Raw genomic sequence first — 17,290 nt, 5'->3', positions numbered from 1 at the left:
TGATTATTCAGGCCTTTCCTAGATTAGTATGACTACAGAGCTGACTAAAAATGTTGTTCTCAACAATGTAAAAGTAAAGGTACAGTTAGCATAAAGAGGGAGATGGAAGAGGGTTTGAAGACCTGGAGAGAAGTTAGGAAGTTCTAAGTTTTTCATTTTGCAAAATGCACATAGTGACCTCTGTACTTAGTGACCTTACTATGTACAGGTAACAGAAGAACAATGGAGGATTTGTGAGTGACATTAGTACCAATCTATCAGAGTAGACAGTCAACAGACATTGCCTAAAGTTGGTAAATCAAGAGTAGTCATATGAGTATACATTTAAAGATATGAAAGTGACCATCGAAAAAACCAACAAACAAGCCAGGCACAGTGGCTCACACCTGTAGTCCTAACTATTTGGGGGGCTGAGGCAGGAGCATGGCTTCAGCCCAGGAGTTCAAAGGCAACATAGTGAGACCCTTGTTTCTAAAAATAAACATTTTAAAAAAGAAACAGGAAAAGAAAAGCCAACAAACTAAACTAGTGAGTAGTCAGTTGTTGCCTTTGAGGAATAGAAGTCAAGGTGGGCTAGAGGTGGGTTAGAGGTCTTTGAGGAATAGAAGTCAAGGTGGGCTAGAGGACTATTACTTCTCATTTCAATTTTTTTTTTCATTTTTTAAACGATGTATATGTTTTAGTGTGTTAAAACTTTTCTAATTGCGATGTCCAAATTTTGATTTTTAGCAGAGTTAGTGAAAGCCAGTGATTTGGGATATAGATTAATGCAGGCACAACATGGCTTTTTGAAGCTGATAAACTCCAGTTTAAGTCTTTGCTCCACCAACTGCTAAAACTCACTGGCTTTGGACAAATCACTAACTCTTTAAGCCTCAGTTTGTTTATCTGAAAATATCAGTAACAATACCTTACACATAAAGCTATTTTAATCTTTAAAATTGAGAATGTCTAAGGCATTTAGCACACATACAGAGGGCACTTAATATAAATTGTTTCATTTAATATAATAGTGAATATATTATTATCAAGTATATGTCAAGTCTCAAGTATATGTCAATTTATCTCTTGAATCTCTCTTTATGTACAAGTATAGGTATGTAATATTTAAGTGTAAATTCCATAAATGCTAATGGTCACATTTCTTCCAGCAGTTTTTAGAGGCTTCAGATTGTTTTTAGTTTTTAATAGAAATCATGATGTAATGAAAGAACCCAGCATTGGCTTGCACACACCCACATTGGGGAAGTCATTTAATCCAATTTAAGTCACTCCACCTATAAAATGACATTGCTGTAGCTTTACCTGTCTGAAGGTTATAGTGAATCAGATGTTCAGTGGGGATGCTGGTCACCTTTAGGGGCCATGGCTGCAAAATAAGAGAATAATGTTGCCATTGAACTTGGAGCAATTGTGGGATCCTACACATCAATCACAGCTCTACCTCAAAAGTTTGGTCTTGGAACTGAGGGAATTTCCTTGACTTCTGAAAAGGAGTTTGGTTTAATTAAAAAATAAAGAACTAATTGTGCTTTCTGAGGCATAAAAAGTCTGCTTACCTCTGTCAAATGAGTTTACTTATCTAAAATATGAGGGTTCCTCTTAGTAAATTCAATTTCCCACTAAATGATACCCTCATTTGTTATACAGCTGAGTTTAATGTATGTAATTCCACTTTAAAATTAATGGTTGTGCATAAAAATACGCTTCCTTTAAATTGACCTTCAGTTCTTTCATAAGAAGATCATCATTTATTCATCCTTTGTGTTTTTTATTTTTCAAGTTATTCAAGAATAAATTGGAAACTCTTCTGTTTGGAAATTTACTTGTAAAGAAGTTATTTTTCAAGATATTGTGATAAAAAGCCTTGAAAAATAAAGAGCATGTAGGAGGCAGGATGAAGAATTTGAAGTTAAATTATTTCTCCACAAAGAAATCTCTTGACAAGTGTACTCCTCACCCCAATCAGTAAATATTTATTATGGGTAAGATTCATACAGGGATGACAAAAAGGATTCTTGCTCACAAGTTAGCAGGGGAGCAGCAGGTCTGAAGTAGGCCTGCTGGAAGCAAAACTGGAAATAAAAATTAAAAAGTCTTTATTTTCAAAAATAGCAAAATATAAAACAAGCATCACCAATTCAAATAAATTGACAAAGTTAATATACATTTAGAGAACATTTCCTTCTTTCTCCAACTCCAAATTTTCTATCTCCTTTTTTCCCATTCATATTTGCAAGATTGATATATAAAGGGAAAATTAAAAGAATGCAAATGATTTTGGTTGTACTGTATGATCACTTCACCTGAAGGAGCAGTGGTTTGCACCTGTAGTCCTAACCCTAGCTACTGGGGAGGCTGAAGCAGGCACATCGCTTGAGTTCAGGAATTCGAAGGCAACATAATGGGGAAACGTGAGTGAGGCTGCCATATTTTTGAGCTGGGCCTTCTTGTTGGATTTAGGCTTCAAGAAATGCCTCAAACAGACTGCTCTGGTGGGAGTGTCCTGTTGACGTGTGCTGATTGTTCTAAAGGCTACTAAAACTGTGTTCCAATTCCAAGTTTCCATAATTCTAAAGGATTATCCTCGATCATCCGACTTAAATGTTTTGGGCTTAGCACTACAGTATTCCAAAATATAAATCAACAACATTTGGAGAAAACAATATGCTAAATAAATTATTTGTGTGGTTTATAGTAGTTGTTGATGACTTGTATGGTACTGAAATACACAGATGACGGCAACTATAGGCGCAAACTGATCCAGTGAAATAAAGTAATGCAGAGACATTACAAATAATAGTAGCAGTTTAGTGTAACATTATAGGGTCAGGTTGGTATGGTGGAAAGATAACTTTAGATTTAACCTAGTTTTAATCCTGTCTGTGCCCCTCCAAGGTTAAGCAATGTATCTAACCTCTCTTAGCCTGTTTCATTTGTAAAATGGGGATTCAGATACTAAGAGTGCTACACAGATTAAGTAATACGATTTTTGGTGTGGCTGGTACATAGTAGAATTATGGGTTCCCATTGTAAACTTGAAAATCTCCTGAGTAAGTAAGGGTCCTCCTGTGCATTTGAAGGACTCTGTGGTCTCACTTAGACTGCAATGTCCTTCAGGTTATCTTTTCTAACCCAACTTTGCCTTTCATCTAGTCTTCTCCGGATTGTACCGGACTAACAGAATGTGGACAGAATTGGATGGTGAGCCAGCAGTAGAAACAGTATACCTCACTAGGGTGGTCTCTGTCTTAAGTCTGCTTTTCTTGGAAGGATTAAGCCTTTCTTTACAGCTATGGTGGAGGAAGAAACATATAGTTCATCATAGAGCTAAAGATTAAAGATTTTTGACTGCTGAACCTACCAACCCCCGTCAGAAGAGCATCAGGAAGTCAGGAAAGAAGAAACTCTTGGCCGGGCGTGGTGGCTCACACCTGTAATCTCAGCACTTTGGGAGGCCGAGGCGGGTGGATCACGAGGTCAGGAAATCAAGATCATCCTGGCTAACACGGTGAAACCCCGTTTCTACTAAAAATACAAAAAATTAGCCGGGCATGGTGGCGGGCGCTGATAGTCCCAGCTACTCAGGAGGCTGAGGCAGGAGAATGGCGTGAACGCGGGAGGCGGAGCTTGCAGTGAGCCGAGATCGCGCCATTGCACTCCAGCCTGGGCAACAGAGTGAGACTATGTCTTAAAAAAAAAAGAAAAGAAACTCTTGGCTTGACTTTTTCAGTTGCAGAGAAACAGAGCTATCTGGCAGGCTGTCCCAGGGGGAACTCCCTGTGCAGGAGTCCCTAGGCCCTGTGATGTGGGCCTGTGGAGCACCAAAAGGTACCACACTCAGACTTCCCATCAATTCATCCATCACTCTCCATTCCTGTTGTAACACCTACATTTATTGTAGACTTTCAGAAATTCACCTTTCAAACATGTTTTAGGAACACGTCGTGTATAAGTAGGAAGTTGCTTACATATATTAAAGTGGGGCAGTATTATATTTAACAATAGTTTTAAATTCATTGGATTCATAAAAGAACAATAATTGGGCATGTTAACATCAATTTTATTACTTTACAACCATAGTCACTTATAGCGCCACACAAAAAGCACATGTAAATTAATAGTAGGAGAGCTATTAATTCAAAATTCTAATCCCCAATATAATTTGCTGCTACACATTTCTATATAAATTATTGTATTTCAAAGAAAAGGAGGAGCTTAAAATGAAATCTTCCTCTCCATGTTCTGCTCCATCCTAAGATCATTATTAAAATACACAGATGAAGACAGCTATGGGAGAAAATACTATAGGAGTAATACTTGAAGGAACCCAAGGTATGAGTTAATTGTTAGCAGTATTTGCTTACTCTAGACACATTACACAGTTCAGAAATTACTTTAAATATAACCATGTGTGACAATAGAGACAATTGTTCTTCTAGGAGTACAGCTAATATATATCAATGAGCACAAAGCAAAATAAAGTGAAATAAGTAAGTGATATAAAATAATTTATATAAATTAAAAAGTTCAAAATTAGTTTTATCATCTGCATCTTCCATTATATGTTTCAGTATATTATCAGTTATATTACCTAATGCCTAGGACCAAAACAAAGTAGACATTTTTTGAAAGGAGAAAGAAATTACAAATTTAGAGCTCTTTTGATTACAATTTATTTGTTTGCAAAATGTCAACCAATTAGAAGACATGACTTCCAGTCATCATGTTTCTAAAGTTGAGTTTCCTTGCCTGGCCAGTAGTTGGGTTGTAGCAGATGATCACTTGTAGTGTAATTTTCCTTTTGGAATCTTGTAGACACCATTGTTCTTTCTCTCTTGGTTATAAAACTTCTGTGTTTTGAAACATAATTTTTCTTTAAAATGAAAAGTACTGCAATGCTTAGGAGAATTGACACTGTGCCCAGTATCACAGTTAGTCCCAGATATATATGTCTAGAAGAAGAGAGAATCTCTGTTATAATTAATGCAACAACCAACTTGAAAGAAAATTTAAAAGGTAATAATATCATACTGATGGTTTTCTTTAAGAATGTAGATTTGGTGGCTTATATAAAAGACTGTTTTATGAAATACTGACAGACTGTTGAAGGCAGTTTATAAAATAAAGCAATGTCTTAGTAGCACCATCATTTTTAGTTACTACTAATTACATAATCAGTTTCATCCTCTCTGTAAATTATTTCCTTAGACCAGGTAACCATATCCCTGTTTGCCTAGAACAGCCCCAGTTTATGCTAGTGCTGGCCCAGTATAATTTTAATAGTGCTCCTTTTCACACTCAAAAGTACCCAGTTTTGAATGATAAATTATGTGGCTACCCTATCCTCAGACCTTTCCCAACTTCATTTCTTTGGAAAACTTGCATAAAGAAATGCTAATGGGAATTGGAGCTCTGAGTAAAGCAGAATGATTTCAGAATAAACCAGAGATTTAAATCAGTTTATTTCATGAGAAACCTATAGTTCTATGCTTTGTCAGAAGATGCTAAGGTATGGAAGAACAGGTTGAATGTCTCATTCTGGTTACCTTGAAAACATACTCTCAATCTCTGATTGAGTTGCATTGTCTCTACATTACAGTTAATACAGCCTTAGCAAAAATGTGAGGAAATACTAAATTATACTCACAGATTGGGTCCCTTTCAAAGACCAAAATAAATTTCACGCATAGCATCAAAACCTATTAACTCAAACAAATTTATTCAAAATGGTGTGCCCAATTCACATCCAACTTAGATGGTTCAGTACCAAGTTTATTTCTCCAGAAAATGCTCAGTTTGTAAGTCTTTTAAACAATCTTTCTTGCTTTTAAGCCATTGCTTCAATGCTTTTTGCATTTTTTTAAGCAATAAGGGACTAAATGTTTAATGAGCTGAACTGAATGATACCATAGTGAAAAAGCCACGCCACCCAACCCCCATATACACTCACCCACACAGAGAAAACCTTTTACTTTCATGCATTTCAAGTACGAGAATAATTGAACATTAGTTTGGCAATAAAAGCCGGACAGATTTAGAGCCAAATCCAACTCTTGCCCAGGGGTATTATATCTGACGTAAGTGGTACAGTTTGGCTCAGTTTGAAAAAGAATAAAAATCAAACCCAAAATGTGACCTAAATTTAAATGCCTCTGAATTTCAGGGAAATACTTGCCCATTTGTGTGCATAAACTTTCAAAATTCTACTGTATTCTGGACACTTTTGTCATATTTTAAAAATGATTACTCATTTAAAATGGGGGTCAAGGTAATGAATAGGGACAAAATCAAAGATCTAATCAAATAATAATATAATTATTCTATGACTACAGATCACACTTTTTGATTAGACTATTCTTTACCTTACAAGCAGTGAAATGACATGAAAACTTGTTAGTGTCAGTGGCATTGTGTAAATCTGGGATGCTGTAGCAATGAGATGCGGGAATGCTTTTGATTTGGTACCTGAAGACATTTGAATCATATAATCTGCATGATCCTCTACTTCCACATCTTTTAAATCCCCATTTGAGGCATGAAGTATCAATCAAAACTCCAAAATACACTGGAGCTGGGATTCCTGCTGTGAGAAAAACAAATAATTGCTGTTAAAAACATATGCACATCTTTTTGTCTATGAACGATTATCTGAAACCACTTACTTTAATCTAATTACTGTTTTGGAGATGAAAGGCCATCAATTACATGCTGAAATCTCCCAAACCTATCTCTCTAATCCAGTCTTTTCTCATAAGCTCCAGAATCATGCAGTAACTGCCATTTATTTATCTCCAGAAGCATGTCACTCAGGCACTTCAAACTCAACATGAGCTCAACTTCTTCCCCTATAGACCTGTCCCTTTATCAGTGGAAGCCCAGTCATTAAAGCAGACTTGTGAGTTATCATTGATCCTTCTTTCTCCTCTCTCTGGCTATCACTATATTTAATCTGTCCCGGAATCATACTGAGTCTATCTATTAGGTATATCTTAAACACTTTCTCTTCTTTCCATTCCCACTGCCACTCCTTCTACCCTAACTTAAAGCAACAGCCAATTCATGATTCCTTGGCTTCATTCATTAACCTTCTCAAATCTGTACATCATACAGAGGTTGCATCACTGAATTAAGTAGGTGACTTCCCAAGACATCTGTTCCAAAAGAAGAGTAGTTAACTGAACATTGGGTCTTTCTACTTTTGTGGCCTCACTTTGGGCAAGATTGTTGTCTTACATTTCAGACTCAAATTTTCTTGGATTTCTTTCAGTGACTAAAATGTTCTCTCCTCTTGTCTGAATGCCTTGTGTAGTTTCCTTTATCCCAAGCAATGATTTTCTCTTATTCACATTCTTAATACACACTCACTTTTAAAATCCAAGTTTGAACGTTTTCCTTCAGTTCATTTTGATAAACTAAACTGCATTAATTCTCATTGTTTTACATCTCATCAAACTTTAAATACTCCTGTAATAGCTTGTTGAATTGCCTTCTCTGCTAGACTGTAAGCTCACCACGGTAGGAAACATGTCCTCCTTATTCATGCCAGAAACCCTAGTAGGTTCTCAGAAAATGTTAGGAATTTAATCCCTCCTTAGGGAGAAAATGTGTCTCTCATGTGCAAATATTAACGAAAGTATCTTAAGCAGTTGTTCATAGCTCAGTGTATATTTTATATGTTCTAAATTGGTGGTTCATTAACATTGGTTATTTAGTCTGTGTAGACTTTGGGATTTTGTTTTTTAGTTAGTAGCCAATAGCTGAAACCTAGGAGATTTCATATAAACTTGCACACTTCTGAGTTCTCTTAAGAACCATGTTGTCTGGCAGTCCATGGTCATAGTTGGCTGGAGTTAAGCAGCAGCTGCCTCACTCCCCCAACCGCTGCCTACACTTGGAGTCCACCACAAGTCCATACAGCTTTCTCTCTGCCTACATCACTCGTTTCCATCAACTGTCTGGTTGTTTCCGGCATTTGAGTTTTAACCTTTTTTGTATATGTTTTCTTCTGTTATAAAATTGCTTTGTATGCTTATATTGAACAAAATAATCTCACTAAATTTTTAAAGTCATCTAAGAATATTTATGACACTTCTAAATTTCAGAGATTATCCATTTGTTCTTTGAAAACAAATGAAAATATTTGAAAATATTTTCTATGTAAAGGTTTACCTAAACTTTGCAAATACTCATGTAAATAATTGATTCAATCCAGACTCATCGATGGCTGCTAAAATTTTGGGTGAAAGATTTTTGGGAAACAGAATGGTGACATAATCTCGAAGTGTCAAATTATAGGTGACTTATTAACTGCAGAAGGATTTTTCAATGGAGAAAACTGGTAGACACCACCTTCACCAAGGGACCAAAATTAAAATTCCAATGAGGTATAAACTGAAATGATGTGCTTCCTGATATGATTTACTAAGCATCATGCAAATCACGTGTGTAGTATTGCCACCAACAATATTTTACCTGGACATACTCACAAGCAAACAAACACATCCAATAGTTGGGATATTTTACAAAACAACTGGCTTTGCCTCTTGAAAAAAATATAAATGTCACAAAAGAACAAAAAAATAAGAATGAGGAATTTTTGGAGATAAAGAAAGGTAACTAAATGCAATATGTGGTCTTTGACCTTGGATCAAAAGAAAAAATAAAACACTATAGAAGACACTATTGTTATAATGAAAGAAATTTGAATGAGGGATTATATTAGATAGAGTAGCATATCAATGTTGAATTTCTGAAGTGTGAGAATGGTATTGTGGTTATATAGGACAAGTCTATATATAGATTTGCTCTAGTAGAAGAACACAAGTTGAGGGCTTTGGGAGTGAGGTGTCAGCATGTTCACTACTTATTTTCAAATGATTCAGCAAAATATTTGTATGCTCAGAGAAACAGAGGAGAGAGATTTCTGGTTTTTGGACACAGTTGATAAATCCCAGTAAAAGTTATACAGTTATTCATTGTAATTTAAATTTTTTGGTAGATTTGAAATTTTCGCAACAAATGGGAGAGAAAGAGGGAAGTAAAGCCTATGGATTAAAAAAGATTTTAGAGATATATCACCTAATGCAATTGTGGACCTTGTTTGGTTCTTAATTCAAACCTACATGTGTAAGGAAACATCAGATAATTTAAAGAATTTAAGCAGTAATTGGGTATTTGCTAATATTAAGAAGTTATTTTTTAAGATGCAAGAATCACCAGATTAAAACAAGTCATTATGGTTTTGATTAGAAGAGCACACCAAACATGTTATAGAAGAAATACAGTAGTCTGAGACTTACTTCAAAATAAGCTAGTTGGGTAAGTAGTTAGGGACACAGATGTCCTAAGATGAGCTGTGTATTGATAATTGTTGAAATTGGGTAATTGATAAATGGGAGTTCATTGCTATCTTTGCTGTATACAAAGACAGTTCTTGCTATCTTTGTATATGTTTACATTTTTAAATAACAAATGATCCCCTCTATTTTGCTTGAAACCCCAAGAACAAGAAGAGCAGAAAATTTTGAATTAAATTTGGATTATTTGGTGCCTCAAAAACCAAACAAATATATGATTTACCACTTAAAAAATCCAGGTGATAACCAATTTTACATTACCTTTAATGATGTGAAGACAAGCCAAAAAAATTCAAATGTTTGCAATTTTCTGTACGTGGTTTAAGATTATTATAATAGAACATTTTCAAAAATTCACAAAAGCAGACAGAATGATATAATTAACCCTCATGTACCATCATAGCTTTGACAATTATTAATGTTTTGCCATTGCTGTTTCATCTCTCTCCCCATTCTGAACTCTATTTTTTTTTGAGACAGAGTCTCCCTCTGTCACCCAAGCTGGAGTGCAGTGGCACAATCTTGGCTCACTGCAACCTCTGCCTCCTGGGTTCAAGCAATTCTTGTGACTCAGACTCCCCGAGTATCTGGGACCACAAGCATGCACCACCATGCCAGGCTAATTTTTGTATTTTTAGTAGAGATTGGGGTTTAGCTATGTTGTAGCCAGGCTGGTCTCGAACTCCTGGCCTCAAGATATCCACCCGCCTCAGCCTCCCAAAGTGCTGGGATTATAGGCATGAGCAAATGTGCCCAGCCTGAACTCTTACTTTAATATTTTAAAGGCAATCTCAAACATCATGTCATTTCAATTATGTATATTTCAGCATGCATCTCTACCTGATGACATTTTTTAAAAACATGACCGCTATGTCATTCTTACTCCTAACACATTTTATAATAATTTATTAATTTTATCTAAAATGTAGTACATATTCAAGTTTTTGGATTGTCTCCAAGGATTTTTTTAGTTCGTTTGTTTTTATAAGGATCCAAACCAAATAAACACATTGTATTTAGTTGATGACTCTTCAGAGCAATATCCAATCTTCACTTTTTTTCTTACTAATGGTTTTTGAAAAAAAAAAGACAATACCAAGTCCCATAGGATATGCCACATTCTGGATTTAATTCTTCTTTATAACATTATTTAATTGATTCCCCTATCATCCATTTTTCCTAGAATCTGGTAGTTAGATCTTGTTAGATTCAGGTTCAGTTTACTTCAGGCAAATGTACTGTGTATTTTTTTATTCTGTCCCAGTTAGAAGGCACATGCTACCTAGTTGCCACTCTTAGTAATGCTAAGATGCGTGTGAAGTTCAGGCTATGTCAGTCTGATCCCTCCATTATGAAGTTGCTCACCAACTTTCATCTAAAGCTTTTAGCTATTTTTAAGGTTACAAGGCAGGATTTTTTTTTTTAATCTATGCTTCTTATAGAAAGTATTTGGGTTTTTCTCGAAGAAGGAATTTTCCTTAATTGACTAATTTGGTTACTTTGACATACAGTTAATAGAAGAAAGGCAGGATAAATGATTTTTTTCTCCTTTATTTCTCAATTTTCAGAATAATGACTTGATGTCCTGATATTCTCCAAATTTTTAAAGTATCATTATAAACTCATGTGTTTTAATATATTCTATGTATTTCAATAAACTGCAGCCATTATTGTTACTACGGTTGCTACTATTTTGAGTTTCAATTTATCTCACCTTGAGGCCAGTCTCCTCAAATTGGTTCTGTTCCCTTGTGATATAGCCTTCTTAGGCTTTGATAGCTTATTCATTTTCTAGTATAAAAAAAGTCCCATAATCATCTCATGCATTTTCTACCCTAGGCCTTGAATCAGTCATTTCTCCAAGGTGCCATATGCTTTTACTGCGAGATTATATTTAGATATCACAGATTAAGTGTCGTGGTGTTCATTTCTTCTGGGTTTCAAAGTTTCTAGAATTTTCAGGAGATGGAACTATAAAATACACATTATTTTAAAATTAAAATATGTGAGTTCATATTGATGTTTTAAGTTCAAATTTAAGAATGAGCTTTATTTCTTTTTTTTTTTCTTTTTTTATTAGATGGAGACTTGCTTTGTCACCCAGGCTGGAGTGCAGTGGTGTGATCTCAGCTCACTGCAACCTCTGCCTACCAGGTTCAAGCAATTCTCCTGCCTCAGCCTCCTGAGTAGCTGGGATTACAGGCACACACCAGCACACCCGGCTAATTTTTGTGTTTTTAGTAGAGATGGGGTTTCACCATGTTGGGCAGGCTGGTCTCGGACTCCTGACCTCAGTTGATCCACCTGCCTCGGCCTCTCAAAGTGCTGGGATTACAGGCATGAGCCACCGCACCCAGCCTTTGAATTTTTTTATTTTATACTTGTATCACTTTTCTATTTTACTAAAAATATTAATTCCAAGTAATATTAACATTTCAATTGCTTTATCTTAAATATATAATAGTTTCAACATAAAAATATTGATATTAGTACTAATAATGACTATAAATCCAGTTAATCTATGAAGATTTGGCAAAAAATTTTATTTTTTAAGGCATTTAAAGTTTTTCATGTATGCTTATTTAACCAATGTATGCTTATGTTAAACAGTTTCAGTTTAAGATTTGGTTATTTTAAATTTTATTTTCAGTTATATCAAACCTTATATAATTTTGATTTAACAATCATATAAAAAGCTACATTTACAAAGTCTTACTTCCATCCTGAAATTTATCCCTCTTCCCTTTCTTCTACAGGTAACCATTTTTTAAAATTAGTTTTTAGTTGATGCTTCCATTGTTTCTTTTTTAAAAAAGAGCAAAATGCCTTAGCACATGCATATAATATTTCCACCTTTCCACATGTAACACCAAAAACACCATACAATAAAAATTGTTCTCCATTTTCCTTCTTTTTACTTACTGGAGATCACTCGGTAACATTAGATAGATTTTTCCCATTCATCCTTACAGCTCTGTTACGTGTGTGTACTACAGTTTATTCAACCAGTCTCCTACCGATGGACATTTAGATCACTTCCAGTTTTTTGCTATTATAAAAAGTCACAATTATTGCGCCTATTCATAATGATTAAATTTTATAATTTTTGCTAGCAAATTTTTGGTATAATTCTTAGAAGTAAAGATATTAGGTTAAAAGGTAAATCTATATATAATTTTACCAGTTATTGCCCAATAAAGAACATCATTTTCCCAACAGCAATGTATAAACATAATCTATTTTTCCATACATTGCAAACAAAATTTGGTAATTTGTCAACCTGATAAGAAAGGTAGTTCTAACTTGGCTCTATTTATGAGCTAATTTGACCATCTTTCTATATATTAAAAGGCAATTACATTTATTTTTCCATGAAAAATTCACATCTTTTGCTCATTTTTCTACTTTGTTGCTTGTTTTTTTCTTCTCAAAACTTAGGAGTTTTCTTTCTAATAGGAATATTAGCCCATTGTCTGTTACATAAATTGCAAGTTAGTCATTTGCCATTTGACTTTGCTTATGATACTTTTGCCAATTTCAAATATTATTTTTGTCAAATCAGTTTTGTAAATCATTTGTTTATGTTGGAACAATTTTTGCTCTGTAGGCTCCATCTATATTCCCAAACACAGGTAGATATGGGGGCCAATTCTTGCCAGGCATATACTACAGGCTCAATATATGACACTTTTCTAGCTAATACATATTTCATTATAGAATTAGAGCCAGTCATGATGCCATATAACCCTATTTTTGTTTCTTTTTCAATGTTATCAGGATTCTATTATCTTGCTATGCAACCATTTTATATCAAGATCTATGTAAACCAAATTTGATTTCAAATTTTTTAAGCTTTGAGTTTGTTTTTCTTTCTGGGTTGTTCCTTTCTGACAAATGGCAGTGAAATATTCAAAATTATTTTATTTTTTAATATATAAACTCTTTAAGGATAAAAACTTTGTCTCATTCACTGTTTTCTATAGGTTTTAATCAATATATATTTAAAAATTTGGTAGTCAGAAAAAACATTTCAATTACAATTTAAAGTATGACCTACTCAAATTTATTTGCATGGTTTAAATAATACCTTATTTTTCTACCTAATAACATAAGGGATAAGCATTGAGAGTAACTCAAAGGAATTCTTTCCATTTTAATAACTGAAAAAAAATATATTTAGGCTTCAGCCTTTCTTACTTATTAATTTCTGAGAGCTCTCTTGTTAAAGCCATGGATTTTGTAAGAACACACAAGTACTAGAAAAGGTAAGATTGTTAAACAAAAATTATGATTAATTTCACAAAATCTCTGTTGTATCTGGAACACAAAAGAGGCAATATATTTCTGTAACGAAGAAAGGAGTCAAGAAAAGGAGGAAGGGAACAAAGAAATGAAGAAAGGAATAAAAAAGACTATGAACTTTGCCACCTACAACATATATTTATGCATGGCAATTCTGTAAAAATATTTAGAAAAGTCTTCAAAATACACTTACGGTGTCTACCATAAATTAAAGCATAGGTTAAACTTACCAAGAACTCTTATTGCTAATGTGTAGATACCCAAGGCAAAAGACTTAAGCTGTGGCTTAATGCACCTAAAATCAACAAAAGCACCATTACAAGAAATATATAATCCATTAAAGCAAATAGAAATTTGAAGGATAATCTGCCTAACATACATGAAATCATGTTAGAATTCAAGTGCCATTTATGTTGAACCCATTGGTGTGCTAACATAGGGAGGGCAAAATACGTAAAAGCCACATTCCATTTCATGCAATGCTACAAGAAGTTTATAATTAATATTTCTAGAAACTACATCACCCATACATGCCATATTCAAATGGTGCTAGTAAAGTCAAATTTAATTACCAAAATAGCAAAGATTCAGAATAAAACTCAAATTCCTAAGAAATTGTTAGAATTTTTAAGCAACAATAAAGAATTAATAGCCAAAAAATTTTTATGGCTTTTTGTCTAAAAGCACAGGGCCAAAGTGATCAGAGTAGATATAATCACTGTGGCATGATAAAAGTTGTTGCTAAGGGAATTTAAAAAAATCAGAGGCCAGGCGCGGTGGCTCACGCCTGTAATCCCAGCACCTTGGGAGGCCGAGGCGATCACGAGGTCAGGAGATCAAGACCATCCTGGCTAACACGGTGAAACCCCGTCTCTACTAAAAAAAAAAAAAAAAAAAAATTAGCTGGGCATGGTGGCGGGTGCCTGTAGTCCCAGCTACTCAGGAGGCTGAGGCAGGGGAATGGCGTGAACCCGAGAGGCGGAGCTTGCAGGGGGCCGAGATTGTGCCACTGCCCTCCAGCCTGGGTGACAGAGCGAGACTCCATCTAAAAAGTAAATAAATAAATAAATAAATCAGAAAAGTGCAAAAACACCTAAATAATAAGAGTGTCATTAATATGACTGTAAAGCTTAAACTGATTGGCCTATGAAATTTAATAGTAATCATAATGATGTATATAACTACTGAGTGTTAACCACACTACTAAGTACTTCTTACATATTATATCATTTAGTCTCTGCTTTAAAAGAGGCAAAAAAAAAAAAACATGACTTTTCTTCTTCAACCCAAGGGAGTCCTTCTGACATCAAAATTCACAATAGTTAATATGAAGGACTAGTGGTTAGAAAGATGCTTTCTGTGGTAAGCAACCTGATTCTACACTTGGCACAATATAAGATATTGAAGAAGTAGCCACAATGTTCTGGAAAGTCTAGGTCAATGTTTTGCCATTTTGTCAAACTCAGGCTGCCATTTGTAAATGTAACTGTCTCATATTCTCCATGTTGTATTTCCCATATTTGGTGAAAGCTGTTTTGAGAATAGCAGGTTTGTGGATAATAAGTTCTGTTTTCTGTTTGTCATTCCTAAACAATTTCTATGATAAAAATTGTGGGAAATTAAAAATGTGTACAATACTTTGGTTAGTCTTACTTTAGAAAAAAATTAGTATTTATCCTTGAATATAAGAATTAATTTGAAAATCACCCAGTCCATCTCATAAATACTGATTTCTAGTAAATGTTGACTTTTCATGTTTAATAATTTTATCAAAATTTTTATTATTTTAAGTGATTTTTATCAGTTGTACAATAGAAATATTTGCAAAGCTAAAGCTAACTCAATTAGAATGAAAATATTATAACTGAGACTTCTATTTTCAAAACTATTTTACAATTTGGATTCATGTAATTGTTACAGATGTATGATAGGAAAATCAGTAAAAAAAATTCGAGCACAAATTGTGTTTTAATAGGAGAAAAACCTGTAGGGAAGTTGAATGATGATATAAATACAGGAAGAAGGAAATATGTAATGCTTGTCACTGTTAAAGTAGTTGTTATACAATTCTGACCCAGGTGATGTTGGTTATCAAATCACTATTTTTTAGGTCCCATTAATTACATTAGAAAGTGACTTACATTTAAAACTGTTATTTTTAAAATAAAAATATTTATAATATACCAGAAATCAATATTCAGTTACTATTTAAACTTATGATAAAAAATTTTTATGTGTCAATTTATAAATATGCAAGAAGCTACATACTTTTACAAATTTGTTTAGGGTTTTATAAGCAAAAATGGTTGAAGTCCTTGATATGGTCTGGCTCTCTGTTCCCAAATCTCATCTTGAATTGTAATCCAAATTGTAATCCCCACATGTTGGGAGAGGGACCTCTTGGGAGGTGATTGGCTCATGGGTGTGGCTCCCCCATGCTGTTGTTGTGATAGTGTGTTCTCACAAGATCTGATGGTTTTATAAGAGGCTCTTCCCTCTTCCCTCTGTACTTCTCTCTCCTGTGCCTTGTGAGGAAGGACTTGTTTGTTTCCTCTTCCCCCACTATTTTAAGTTTCCTGAAGCCTCTCCAGCCATGCGGAACTGTGAGTCAATTAAACCTCTTTCCTTTATAAATTACCCCATCTCGGGTATTTCTTTATATCAGTGTGAAAATGGAATAATACAGTCATTAACATCATAGATTAGGAGCCTCAATTTACCCAAAGCCATGAAATCCTCCACAGACAATTCCAGTCATGGCAAAAATATACAGATAAAGCCATATATATATATATATATATATATATATATAAATAAAATAAATTCTAACATTGTTGTATTAGATGAGCCTTAAATATTTTATAAATTCTATTTCCCATGACTTGGTGAAACTATATTTAATCTAAAATGCATGTTACCTATGCTAATTATTATTATCACCAGCGTTAGAAGTAGGATACTGTATTTATTAAGCAACTCTAGTGATGTAGAAACTAACATTGCTTCCTAGACCAATAGTTTGCAAACATTTTTAACTAAGAAAACTTCTATTCAGCCACATTTTTGTATAAATACCCAAAGTGCGATATATATAAAAGTGAAACAAGGATGTGGGACAAGTTTCTTGAAAAAACTAAGAGGAATCATAGACTCCACAGAAAAAAATTTAAATCATTGCTCGAGATGATTGTGTCTTGTGTTAAAATTAGAATAGGGAGAATCAGTACTCACCTCAGAAGTAATATGTATCCAGGTATGCCACCTAGGGATAAAGTATAGGATGTGATGACTGAAATTACAAGGAAATACAGAAACATTTGGGGACATCCATTGTCTTTCTGACATCTTCCCACTATGCCTGAGGAATTTCCGGATTTAGAAGCTGCAATTCCCACACAAGTGCAGTTGTAAAATATCTGTAACACGATAGGGAAAAGTCCAATTATTTCAGTAACATTTAAATAAAGTTAAAGACAGTTATGTTAAAAATGTTTACCGTAGCCATGCATTATGTAAACAATGAGGAAATATTCTTTTATTTTTTTGTATTACAGTATATTGAGCAAAGCAAAATCTATATAGATACAACATTTCATTATCTAAAGAGCAGATGACTATCTACAAACTAC

General features: G+C 34.2%; 1 protein-coding gene across 4 annotated transcripts in view; it reads right to left on the bottom strand.

Moving 5' to 3' along the window:
* Positions 1–3,874: 3,874 nt before the first annotated feature.
* SLCO1C1 (solute carrier organic anion transporter family member 1C1) overlaps positions 3,875–17,290 on the bottom strand; it is a 58,055-nt gene continuing 44,639 nt past the window's right edge. For 2 of the 4 annotated variants that reach the window (NM_017435.5, NM_001145945.2), the window contains exons 12-15: positions 16,893–17,077; positions 13,892–13,956; positions 6,469–6,586; positions 3,875–4,955 (exon numbers count right to left, since the gene is read on the bottom strand). In NM_017435.5, the coding sequence (NP_059131.1) occupies positions 4,733–4,955; positions 6,469–6,586; positions 13,892–13,956; positions 16,893–17,077 (591 nt within the window). In that variant the 3' untranslated portion in view covers positions 3,875–4,732. Of the gene's footprint in view, positions 4,956–6,365; positions 6,587–13,891; positions 13,957–16,892; positions 17,078–17,290 lie in introns of all 4 variants that reach the window. The other 2 variants (NM_001145944.2, NM_001145946.2) reach the window with 1 other exon arrangement.

This window comes from Homo sapiens, chromosome 12 (genome assembly GCF_000001405.40).
Source record: "Homo sapiens chromosome 12, GRCh38.p14 Primary Assembly".
Lineage (NCBI taxonomy): Eukaryota > Metazoa > Chordata > Mammalia > Primates > Hominidae > Homo > Homo sapiens.
The sequence above is the reverse complement of the archived record's forward strand: the minus strand, read 5'-3'. Positions and strand labels throughout refer to the sequence as shown.